The sequence below is a fragment of the Homo sapiens genome, chromosome 6, assembly GCF_000001405.40.
Source record: "Homo sapiens chromosome 6, GRCh38.p14 Primary Assembly".
Taxonomy (NCBI): domain Eukaryota; kingdom Metazoa; phylum Chordata; class Mammalia; order Primates; family Hominidae; genus Homo; species Homo sapiens.
This window is the reverse complement of record NC_000006.12, coordinates 19,335,714-19,349,521: the sequence shown is the minus strand read 5'-3', so window position 1 is coordinate 19,349,521 and position 13,808 is coordinate 19,335,714. Positions and strand designations below refer to the sequence as shown.

At 35.8% G+C, this 13,808-nt stretch overlaps 1 pseudogene; it reads right to left on the bottom strand.

The window, feature by feature from the left end:
• Window positions 389-1,408, bottom strand: RPL5P20 (ribosomal protein L5 pseudogene 20; annotated as a pseudogene).

The window sequence follows — 13,808 nt, the reverse complement described above, 5'->3', positions numbered from 1 at the left end:
TTCACATGAAAATATTGGTATGGGCATGTGCTTTAACTTCTCTTGGGCTGACACCTAGGAAGAGAATTGCAAAGTCACTTGGTAAATTTATATGTAACTTGTTAAAGAACCTGCTAAACTGTTTCCAAAGTGGCTGAACCATTTTACATTCCCACTAGCCATGTGTAAACACTCCATTTTCTCCACATTCTAGTTAGCCCTTGTCTCTATTTGTATTTTGGATTATGGCTACCTAGTGGGTATGAAATTATATCTCATTGTGATTTGGATGTTCATTTTCCTAATGATTAACAACACTGAGAATCTTTTCATGTGTTTATTAGCATTCATACATCTTTTTTGGTGAAATAGCTATTCAAATATTTTGCTTGGTTTTTTATTTCTTTTTTATTTGTTTAGTCAATAAGTTTATTGTCTTTATCTGAAAAATTCTCACAGAAAATTGTTCAGTGTAGGTAGCTCTTGGCAGCCTGCTCCTGAGCTCTGAGGAAGCTTGTCTTCTTTTGAGCTACCTGATCTTTCTTCTGGGCAAGGGACATTTTCAGATGGTTCCACTTCTTTTTTTAAACTTCTTTCTCGGACTTCTTCTCATAGACTGGATTCTCTTATATAGCAGCGTGAGCTTTCTTGTACATCTCCTTCATGTCTGAAGTTATGCTGTTCTTTATGTATTAAGAGAAACATTTCTTGTAAGCATCTTCATCTTTTTCTATTAGGTAACACATGTAGCCTGCAGCATTTGGATCCATAATGGGCTTTTGATGTACTTCTGCATTAAATTTCTTGCTTTCAGAATCATAACCAGGAAATCGTTTAATATTGTGAGGAATCAACAAACCTCCATCCACAACTCCTTTCCAGACCCCATAAAAGCTTATCGGTAGTTCTGGCAAGGCCTGCATCCAAATAGCACGTAAAGGCACCTGGCTGAGCATCAATGGTTTTTACATTGTATTCATCTCCATTCATCTCTACTTGGACTTCTTAGATCTTGTCCATGCCAAACCTACTGAGAAGTCTGCAGGCCAGCAGGAGGCCAGTACAGTATGCTATAGCATAATTTGTCAGGCCAACCTTCACACCATGTTTTGGCAGTTCATATGCATAAGCTGCATACATTATCATATTCCCTCCTATATGGGCATAAGCAATCTGACAAATGATATCTCTATCTGTTACACAAACTATCACCCTGTATTTAGGCATGTTGTACTTATTTTTATCTTATATCACCAAGGATTTCTGAGCATAGTAATCAGTTTTACCCTGTCATTGTCTTCTACATTTCACTTAGTATCTCTTAAAGTAGGCCTTACTCTTGACAACTTTAACAAACCCCATCCTGAGAAACAGAAACTCATATCTGTGGCTCAACACAGATCTACAGGTCCAGCAACACTGGGGGTGGAGGGGAGGTGGGGTGGGGAAGAAGGCCTGTTACCTGTTTTTTTTGTTTGTTTGTTTTTTGTTTTTTGAGATGGAGTCTCGCTCTGTTGCCCAGGCTGGAGTGCAGTTGCGCGATCTCAGCTCACTGCAAGCTCTGCCTTGTGGGTTCACGCCATTCTCCTGCCTCAGCCTCCCAAGTAGCTGGGACTACAGGCGCCCGCCACCACGCCTGGCTAATTTTTTGTATTTTTAGTAGAGACGGGGTTTCACCATGTTAGCCAGGGTGATCTCAATCTCCTGACCTCGTGATCCACCCACCTCGGCCTCCCAAAGTGCAGGGATTACAGGCGTGAGCCACCGTGCCCAGCCTGCCTGTTTTAATTGAGTTGTTTGTCTTACTAAGTTGTAAATGCTCTTTATATATGTTGAATACATACATATGTTGAATATGTATGTATGAATACATACATATGTTGAATATGTATGTATGAATACATACATATGTTGAATGTGTATGTATGAATACATACATATGTTGAATGTGTATGTATGAATACATACATATGTTGAATGTGTATGTATGAATACATACATATGTTGAATGTGTATGTATGAATACATACATATGTTGAATGTGTATGTATGAATACATACATATGTTGAATGTGTATGTATGAATACATACATATGTTGAATGTGTATGTATGAATACATACATATGTTGAATGTGTATGTATGAATACATACATATGTTGAATGTGTATGTATGAATACATACATATGTTGAATGTGTATGTATGAATACATACATATGTTGAATGTGTATGTATGAATACATACATATGTTGAATGTGTATGTATGAATACATACATATGTTGAATGTGTATGTATGAATACATACATATGTTGAATGTGTATGTATGAATACATACATATGTTGAATGTGTATGTATGAATACATACATATGTTGAATATATGTTGAATACAAGTTATTTGTCAGATATCTCATTGGCAAATAATTTTTTTCTAGTACATGGCTTGTGTTCTCATTTCTTAATGATGTCTTCTGAAGTGCAAGAGTTTTAAATTTTGAAGAAATCAAATTTATCAATATTTTATTTTATGGATTGTGCTTTTTAGGTATCATATCTAAGAATGTGCTGCCTAACCCTTTATAGTATTAATATTAACTCATACATTTAAGTTTATAATCCATTTGAATTTAACTTTTTTGTAGAATGTAAGATGAGTCTAAATTCATCTTTTTGCAGGTTGTTACCTAACTGACCCTGCACCATTTATTAAAAAGACCATCATTTCTCCCATTGAATAACCTTGGTAACTTTGCTAGAAATTGATTGACCTTAAATGTAAGGGTTTATTTTTGTACTATCAATTTTGTTTCACTGACTTGTGCAGATGTTCCTCAACTTATTATGGAGTTACATAGTGATAAACCCATGATAAGTTGAAAACGTCATTAAGTCAAAAATGGACATTTTGTTGACATGATGGGATACAAAAACACAAAACATAATACCGAAGAAGGCTGACAACACAGTTCACTGTAGAGTATGGGTTGTTTGCCCTTGTGATTGCACGCCTGACTGGGAGCTGTGGCCTACCACCACTGCCCATCATTGCAAGAGAGTATTATATTACATACCACTAGTCTGGGAAAAAAATCTAACTTCAAAATTCAAGATATGGTTTCTGCTGAATGCGTAACATCATTACATTGTAAAGTAAAAAAAAAATTCATAAGTCAAACCATTATAAGTTACAAACCGTCTGTGTGTCTATCCTTATGCCAGATTATTGTAGCTTCATAGTAAATTTTAAAATCAGGAAGTGGAAGTTCTTCAACTTTGGATTTTTCCAAAACTGTTTTGGCTATTCTGATTCTTTTGCATTTCCATGTAAATTTTAAGACTACTAATTTGCAATAATTCTTGCTAGGATTTTGTTAGGTACCGCATTAAACCTGTACATTAATTTGAAGAGAATTGATATCTTAACAATATTGACTTTTACAATCCATAAACATGGAATGTTTCTCCATTTATTAAAGCTTTTAATGTTTCTTTCAGATGTATTTATATTTTTTGGTGTTTAAGTCTTGTATTGATTTTGTTAAACTTATTTCTAATTACTTTATTATTTTGATTCTATTATGATTAGAATTGTTTTTGTAATTTCATTTTCAGATTGTTAAGTGCTAGGATATGGAAATACAGCTGATTTTTGTATATTGATTCTGTATTCTGCAAACTTGCTAATTTATTAGTACTAGTAGTGTTTTGTAGATTCCTGAGAATTTTCTTCATACAGGATAATGTCATCTACAAATAAGAAAAGTTCAATTTGTTCATTTCCAATGTAGATGCCATTTATTTCCATTGTCTAAATGTATTGGCCAGGACTTCCATGAATATGTTTAATAGAAGTGATAACAGCAGACACCCTTGGGTTGTTTCCAGTCTTAGGGGGAAAGTATACTATTAAGTATGATGTTAGCTGTAGGTTTTCTGTAGATGTCTTTTTTCAGGCTAAGGAAGTTCACCGTGTTAGCCAGGATGGTCTGGATCTCCTGACCTTGTGATCCACCCATCTCAGCCTCTCAAAGTGCTGGGATTACAGGTGTGAGCCACCACACTGGCCTTGTTGAGAGTTTAAAATTGTAAATGAGTGAGTTTTGTCAAATGCTTTTTCTGATTTGATTGAGGCGGTTATGTATTTTTGTCCTTTATCCTATTAACATGATATATTACATTAACTGATCCTTGGATGTTAAAGCAATTACATGCTCCTGGGATACAGTGTACTTGTACTTGATTATACTATATAATCCTATTTACTTAATTTCTGGATTTGAGTTGCTAAAATGTTGTTGAGGGTTTTTATATCAATATATATGAAATATATCAGTGTAGTTTTATTTTATTGTAATATCTTTGATTAGCTTGTATAACAGGGTAATATTGGCTTCACAGTATGAGTTAGAAACTATCCCCTTTTCTTCTATTACCTTGAATAGTTTGTGAAGTATTGGCATTAATTTTTCTTTCTTTCTTTTCTTTCCTTTCTTTCTTTCTTTCTTTCCTTCTTTCCTTCTTTCCTTTCTCTCTCTCTCTCTCTCTCTCTCTCTCTCTCCCTTCCTTCCTTCCCTCCCTCCCTCCCTCCCTCCCTCCCTCCCTCCCTCCCTCCTTTCTTTCTTTCTTTCTTTCTTTCTTTCTTTCTTTCTTTCTTTCTTTCTTTCTTTCTTTCTTTCTTTCTTTCTTTCTTTTCTTCTTTCTTTCTTTCTTTGTTCTTGAGACAGAGTCTGGCTCTGTTGCCCAGGCTGGAGTGCAGTGGCACGATCTTGGCTCACTGCAAGTTCCACCTCCCAGGTTCACACCATTCTCCTCCTCAGCCTCCCGAGTAGCTAGGACTACAAGTGCCTGCCACCACATCTGGCTAATTTTTTGTATTTTGAGTAGAGATGGGGTTTCAACATGTTAGCCAGGATGGTCTCGATCTCCTGAGCTTGTCATCCGCCTGCCTCGGCCTCCCAAAGTGCGAGGATTGCAGATGAAAGTAATGCAGAGATTTCACCAAGGGAGCCTCTGGGCCTAGTTGTTTCTTCATGGGAAATTTTTTAGTTATTAATCCAATAGTTTTGATTGTTATAAGTCTATTCCATTTTCTGTATCTTCTTTAGTCATTGTTAGTAATTTGTGTCTTTCTAGGAATTTGACCATTTCATCTTAGTTACCTAATTTGTTGGCACAAGTTTGTTCATAGTATTCTCTTTCTTTTAGTGTCTATAGAGATTGTGTGATGTCCGCTCTTTAATTCCTGGTTTTGGTAATTTATATCTTTTATCTCTTTTTTTTCCCTTAGCCAGTCAATTTTGTTGATCTTTTAAACGACCAACTATTGTTTGCATTAATTTTTCTTTAGTGCTTTGTGTTTTCCATTTCATGGATTCTACTTCTTTATTTTTTTCTTTTTCTTTATTTTTTTTCTTTTCTCCAGAAGTATTTGTACTTAGTTTGCTTTTCTTTTCTATTTTCTTAAGGTGGAAGATTAAGTTATTAATTTGATATGTTTCTTATATTCTACTATCAGGTTAAAGATACAAACAACTCTCTTCCTAAGCACTGCTTTTGCTGCATCCCATGAATTTTGATAGGTTGTTTTGTTTTCTTTCAGTATAAAATGTTCTAATTTTCTTTGTGATTTCTTCTTGAACTCATGAGTAAGAAATGCGTGGTTAAATTTTTTAATGTTCATGGATTTCCAAAATTTCTTTCAGTTTTTCCTTCTAATTTAATTCTGTTGTAGTTAGAGAACATACTTGGTCTGACTCCAGCCTTTTGTTTTAATTTAAGACACAGCCTCACTCTGTTGCTGAGGCTGGAGTGCACTGGTGTGATCTCAGCTCACTGCAAGCTCCGCCTCCCAGGTTCATGCCATTCTCCTGCCTCAGCCTCCTGAGTAGCTGGGACTATAGGGGCCCGCCACCATGCCTGGCTAGTTTTTTGTATGTTTAGTAGAGATGGGGGTTTCACGGTGTTAGCCAGGATGGTCTTGATCTCCTGACCTCATGATCCACCCACCTCAGCCTCCCAAAGTGCTGGGATTACAGGCATGAGCCACCACGCCAGTCCCTCAGCCTTTTTAAGTTATTAAAACTTGTTTATTGCCTAGCATGTGATCTTTTCAAGAAAATGTATTATGTATGCTTTTAAATCAGTTGAAAGAAAAATATACTTTTTAGTATGTAATTACCTTATTGGTGGTCTTTATTTCTTCATGTGAATTTGAGTCACTGTCTAGTGTCATTTTCTTTCATCCTGAAGAACTTCCTTCAGTAATATTTTTCCCCTTTTGTCTTTTTTTCTCTGAGACTTCCATTTCATATATGTTGATATGTTTGATGGTTTCCTATATATCTCTGCAGCCCTATTTTTCTTCATTTTTACTTTTGTCCTTCAGATTAGTTAATTTTTATTGATCTATCTTATAAGTTTTCTGACTATTTTTCCTGCTAGCTCAAATCGGTTGTTGAATACCTCCAGTGAATTTTTATTTCATTGAATGTACTTTTTAATCCCCAAATTTCCATTTTCTTCTTTTTAAAAAATACTTTTTACTGCTTCATTTATATTCTCTATTTGCTAGGTAATTGTCATCATGTTTTTCTTTAATTCTTTAAACACGATTTTCTAAATATGCTGTAAATGTAATTATGATAGTTGCTTTTTCTTCTAAGTCCAACTTGGGCCCTCACAAATGTAGTTTCTAATAAACATCTCCTTCCCTCTGTATGAGTCACACTTTCTAGTTCTTTCATGACTTGTAATCTCTTGTTGAAAACTGGACATTTTGGATACTACATTGTTGAAATTCTAAATTCCAAATCCTCTCTCCCAGTGGTTGTATTTGTTATTATTTTTTGCTTGCTGGCTTCCTTGTTTACTTGTTTTGTGACTTGCTTGGAATAATTCTGTGGAATCTATCTCACCATATAGTATAGCCACTGATGTCTCTGCTCAGTTTGTTGTTTATTAAATCTTTGTTTTCATTTTTAAGCCTATCATTTTAGTGGTCACCTTTGGATCTATATAATATCGTCATCAGTTAATAATTAGTAAGAGCTTGTGCTTAAACACTTTTTCTCAGTAAAGTTTCCACCTCTTTGTTTTTTTGTTTTGTTTTTTGTTTTTTTTTTTTTGAGACGGAGTCTCGCTCTGTCACCCAGGCTGGAGTGCAGTGGCATGATCTCGGCTCACTGAAACCTCCGCCTCCCAGGTTCAAGCGATTCTCCTGCCTCAGCCTTGGGAGTAGCTGGGATTACAGGCACATGCCACCACACCCGGCTAATTTTTGTATTTTTAGTAGAGATGGGGTTTCACCAGGTTGGCCAGGCTGATCTCCAACTCCTGGCCTCAGGTGATCCACCCACCTCGGCCTCCCAAAGTTCTGGGATTACAGGCATGAGTCACCACGCCTGACCAGTTTCCACTTTTACCATTGGATCTGTGTATGGATTGGAGAACACATTTAAAGCTAAGACAGTATTCTCCTCCAACTTTTACTTCCTGTTGAGCCTCTTCATGCCTCCTCCAAATGTGTATAAGGTCTCACATTCAAAGAGGGGCATGCAGAGGGACAGGTTTTTCTCCAATCTTTCTGGCTTAACCAGCTACCATTATTTTGCTCATCTGTAAAACAAGAGAGTTGAATTAAATGGTAATTTCTAAATTCCTTTTTGGCTGCAAATGTAAAGATCCTATGTACCACAGACACACTATTGTATTTGTTTTCTTCTTGCGATAGTGCAGAGCTTCTCTCCTAGTAATGGTGGATTAGGAAATTCTGACTGTCTGCTAAGATCAACTGAAAATCCTGGACACAGTATAAAAATACATCTTACCGATGAATTAGAAAGCTAATAAGGTAGTGAGGAATTATAGAAACCAAAACGAAGGAGAAGAATGAAAGCCAGAGGGGGAAAAAATAAAAGCTTCCTTTGAGAGTTTCTTTTCTCCTCAGGCCATCATATATTCCAAAAATTAGTGGCTGAGAGTCTAAGAAGATCAACTGAATTTTTGACAGATTTACAGATCTGGGAAAATAGAAGTTCCTGGCCCAGCAAGGAAAGCGTGGTATTGTAGTAAACTTCATGACTCTCGGTTGAAATCCCAAAGAGCTACAATAAGGTGAAAAATAACAAATAGATTCTTGCAGGGGTTGAAACCCAGCTACAAATTATTTTAATTCATGATTAGATTAAGATCATTTAGCATTGCAAGTATTCCTGACTGCCTGCCAAAAGCAAACATAAGTTCCTGTTAAAGAAAGATACCATTCTAGGTTACAGATTATCTCTACATTTTATAAAAATGCAATGTCCTGCACTCAGCTGAAAATAACCAGGATCTGTGGCTTACACTTGTGATCCCAGCTACTCAGGAGACTGGGGTAGGAGGGCTGCTTGAGCTCAGGAGCTAGAGGCTAAAGTGAGCCATGATCATGCCACTGCACTCCAGCCTGGGTGGCAAAGTGAGACCCCGTCCGTAAAACAACAACAAAACCAAAAACCACAAAACAGGAGAACGAGGACAAATGACTGAAGGCTGAGTATCAAGAGAAATAAAACATAGAAAAATGCCTAGAGAGGATCTGGAAAATGGAATTTGTAGGCAAAGACTTAAAGATATCTATGCTTACTATGTTGAAAACTCAGATTAAGATTTTTATGTGAAACTAAAACATATTTAAAAAGAAAAAAGAACTGAATGGAAATTCAAGAACTTTAAAAACAATAGCATATTTAATTTAATGTAGATAGATTGAAGAAAGAGAGAAATATTATCCTGAAAAATATGACAAAAAAATTTCAAATTGAAATCAAAAAGAATAAAATTGGAGTGTAAGAGAAAGAAGAAAAGTAGTGAAAAGGACTGAGATACATATAGTTGCAATACTGGAAGGAGAAGAGAAAGACAATGTGGTAGAAGCAATATTGCAAGAGACAATGGTTGGGAGTTTTCCAAAACTAGTAGAAGATATAAAGCCCAATATTATAAAAGGTCTATAAACTCCAGCACTATAAATATAAAGAAAATTGTTTTTAAGACATCACAGCAAAGTTGCTGAAAGCCAAAATTATAGAAGAAATCCTAAAACTGGACAGAGAAAAATGATATTACCTTCATTGAAGAGAAAAATTATACTAACAGTTGTCTTCACTAAAAAAAAAAAAAAAAAAAAAATGCAGAAGCAAGAATACAATGAAATTATAGCTTCAAAATAATGAGAGAAAACAACTACAAACTTGAAGTTCCATATTGAGTGAAAGTATCTTTCGAAAGTAAAAGTGGTAAGAAAGACATCACTAGAGTCTAGGTAAGGCAATGGAGTGGTTAGAACTTTCCGCTGAAGACGTTTAATTAAAATTATAGAAAGCACTTTTTAGGAAGATGATAAATAATCTCAGAAGACATTCAGAGCTGCAAAAAGGAAGGAAGAGCAAGAAAAGGGGTAAATATGCTCCTAAATCTAAATTGATTTTGACTATGTAAGACAATAATAATTATAATATCTGTGGAATTTTAAAATATGTAGAATTAAAATACATAAGAAGAATAATAGTGTATGAGAAGAGATGGTGATAAATGGAATTTAAATGTTCTTAGGATTTTGCATTGTCTAGCAAAAGGTAAAAGTACACATTTTTATTAGACTTTTCTAAGGCAAAGGATTTTGTCATCTCTAGGAAATAATGTTAAGGAAATTTGCTAAGCAAATTCAAGTAAGTTTAAGTAAATTCTGAATGTCTAGTAGCCTCATGCCAATTTTAAATTTTAGTATGTTCCTCTATTTGGGTATGTTACATATGAAAAAAAAAATTTTAATTGGCATTTCAAGGAAAACTGCAAAGAATCATCCAAAAACGAAAATTCAACTTTATACTTATTTATCTGTTTAGAGAAAATTACCTGAAGGTGACTCTGAAGCAAAAGATAATCCCTGTTTTAAGGTTGGAAGTTTTAGAAAGGACACAGCCATTTTAATCCATTCTTGGCTGGGGAGCATAAGGTATAAATCTAATTACTGTGCTTTTACAGTAGTGCATATGAACGCACGCTTTTAATAGGCCAATTTGCTTGGAGGGCTGTGAATTATTTCCTAAGTTTGGGTATTATTACCTCTCTTCAAACAAAGCAGGGGCAGAAGAGATAACTGAAAGAAAAAGGGATAGATGACTTGGTCTTGACTGGACAGTTCTGTGACCCAGTTGGGATAGAAGGTTCTTGAAGGTAGGAATCAGTACCTATATTCATGGGTAGTTCTTGGAAGGAGCTAATTGTTGTGTAGAGGAAAAGGACGCTGACTGGGCTGAGACACAGATAAAGAGGGTTGCCATCTTGTTTCTACTACTGACTAGCTTTGTGTCCTTGGGAAAGTCATTTTGTAACCCTAAACATTAGTTTTCTTTTCAGTAATATGGGCAAAGTAATTTAGCTCATAGATTTAGTGTGAGAACTGATAATGTGTATGAAAGTGTTTTGTAAACAGAAAAGTATATACAAGTGTAGGACATTTATTTTTGTTTCAAAACATGTATCACACAATTCAAATCAAGAGCATTTATCAGTAGTTACAAAGAGGTGAACAAATTTATGGTACATATGAAACAGCCAAACTACAAAACTGTATATTTGAGTTAAAACTAGTTGCCTAAACAGCTACAGGGGAAAAAAAATCAAATTTTCGTAGTCAGTAGGCCATGGGAATAATTTTGATTTTGTCATGTATTTTTACACTGATACTAGCACAGAACTGTCAACTTCTAAATTTGTTTCTCTTTCATTAGGTGATCTGTTGGATTTGGTGTCTATTTTACTCTGTTTCTTGTAAAATGTCCAAGAAAACATCCAAAAACAGAATGTTCACATGATCAGATTTTCAATAACCTGTTAAGTAGCTTAATTCATAACTTTATGAGCAAATCATATATTATCAAAGGAGAAACAAGTATATCCATTTAGATTGTTTTATTTTTCATGTTTAGACCAATTGATTTGTTATTCCTGGATGATGAACAACAATATTATCTTATCTAATTTAAGGAAGCATTGGGGAAATTATGTCTGGGAATGTTATATTCAGATTTCTGAGAAAATATAAAAGTGTAAAATTTCGAGCTACTGAGGATGGAGTTTCCAAAAGATCTTTCATTTCAGCCTCTTAGGTTTTCTGTGTGGAATACAGATGTGAGGAAAGATAGCCTTTCCTGATGTTCTGATATTCATATCTACTGTGATTTTATTTAGAGAATCAGATTTCGTTAGCTTGGAAAATGATGGAAGACCAGAATGAGAGGAGGGCAAGACACTTTTCAAGTGACTATTATTACATGTTGGAAAGCCTTGTTTTATTTTTCCAAAACACTTTTTGTATCAATGCCCATATAAGTGATTTTGAAATTATTATTATAAATATATGGACCTGATGAGGTATTTTCCTTATTAATGCCACACAGAAATTTGTGCTGTTTAATATTTTATGATACCAAGTAGTATCATTAGATCATAATAATACATTGATTATTAAGTAAATGACTAAGATATATTTTGGAGAGAGATTTCAAGAGATAGATTAGATAAAACTCAGATTATAGTCTTAAAGAGTTAATAAATTGTGAAGTCCTATATCAAAAATAATAAAGAAATAACTACTGTGGCTTCTTAGAATACTCAAAAGATTAAGAAGCTTATAAGAAATTATTTTCTGATGGGTGGCAGTGGCTCATGCCTGTAATCCCAACACTTTGGGAGGTCAAGGTGGGTGGATCACTTGAGGTCAGGAGTTCGAGACCAGCCTAGCTAACACAGCAAAACTCCATCTCTACCAAAAATACAAAAATTTGCTGGGCATGGAGGTGCACGCCTATGATCCCAGCTACTTGGGAGGCTGAGGCAGGAGACTTGCTTGAACCCAGGAGGCAATCGTTGCAGTGAGCCGAGATCACACCACTGCTACACCCAGCCTGGGTGACAAAGCAAGACTCCCTCTAAAAAAAAAAGAAAAAGAAAAAGAAAAAGAAAAAAAAAGAAAAGAAATTATTTTCTCAGGGTGAATATTGTCTCCCTCTTTGCAGGCCTTACTCGACTCTGCTTTCCCCACCCCCCGCCCACACCCCCACCCCCCCACCCCCGCTTTCTCCTTCTGCCTCCGCCTTCCACTTCATTTGCATCTTGCCTCCTCCAGACATATCTCCAGCTTCTACCACTCCTCCTTCAACTGCTTTTTAGGCCAAAACAACTGTATTATCAGTAAGACTAATGTGATGGTCAGTCATATCACAGAGTTCTCTGGATCTATTACAAAGCTTTGTCTTCTAGTTTACTCATCTAATTAATTTCAACTTTCCACTTGGCTTTGTGTATGTAGATCTAGCAACAAAAACACGTAACCAAAACATTTTTTTCTTTTCGTTTCTTTTTCCCTCTGTTTCTTTCTTCTTTCTTCCTCTCCCCTTCCTCTCTCTCTTCCTCACTTCTTCTCTCCTTCCCTCCCTTCCCTCCCTTCTTTTCTTCCTTTCTCCCTCCCTCCCTTCCTTCCCTCCTTTCCTCCTTTCTGCCTGGCCAGAAATTGGGTGAAATGATACTTTAGTATTTGTTAGTTGTCATTCCCAATTCTTCACTGCATCTCTTCTGAGTTTTATGTCACCTGGGGTTTTGAGTGAATATCAGAAGTTCCTAAAGTATCTACCAGGAGAACACAGAGTTCTAACAGCTAACAAATTCTCGTGAAGACAGAGCTGTCATCTCCCGCAGAAGCAGAAGGGCTAGGCTGCGTCACTTAAATTCAGCCCAGGGTGTCAGATGGGAGTTTGAGTCAAATAGGGAGAGGGTAATAGCATTCCCCAAAACCCCCTCACACTAAAGCGGTTCTGAAATTCTGAAAAGTCTTTAACTTTATTGGGTACAACATGGGCAATGTAACAAAAAGTTGCATATGCCAAGGACTCTAAAATACACAGGGTTCAGACTCACAGAAATATCTTTCAAATGTGCTCAATGTAGTAAGACGAAATAGAATCTAATATTAGTCAAAAATAATTAATTCATAGCTATCAAAAGTATGTCTTCTGTTAAAAAGTGCCTGCTGAGGTATTTTGGAGAAAAATAGAGCTGACTAAGCCTTTGAATCATGTAATCAATTTGGTTGGTTGCCAAAAAAAAAAGGAAATTTAAAGTTTTTGTTGTTTTATGGTTTTATGTTTTTGTTTTTTTTTTTTGAGAAAAAGTGAGGACCTGACTCAGTCTTACCTAAATTTTCAAGAAAATTGAAGTAGTTAGATTAGTGCAAAAGTAATTGCAGTTTTTGCAACTACTTTTGATGGTGAAAAATGCAATTACATTTGCACCAATCTAATAATATCAGTTATTTTTGGATAGCAAATACAGAATGACCACCACTACCACCACCACCCTTCAAGCAGCCTAGGGGATCTATTTTCTTTGACCCACAGCCTTACATAGGCTGGCCCACATCCTGCCGATGCAATCCTTACAGGCAAAGGAGCTGGGTTTGAGAGTTGAGCAGGCCTGACTCCCATGTGTGCATGTGTGATCCTATGCAAATAATTCTGCTTGGTGAGTCTCAGTTTGAACATTTTTAAGAGAAAGAGAAGACAGAAAGAGAAAAAAGGAGCAAGAGAGGAAAAGAGAGAGAGAGGAAAATCATGATGCCTATGGCACAAAGCGTTGAGGAATGTGAAAAAGAAAATATATGAAATGTGCCTGTTTACACCTAAGTGCTCAATAATTTTATTTTATTTTATATTTTATTTTATTTAGATGGAGTCTTGCTCTGTCACCCAGGCTGGAGTGCAGTGGCATGGTCTTGGCTCACTGCAAC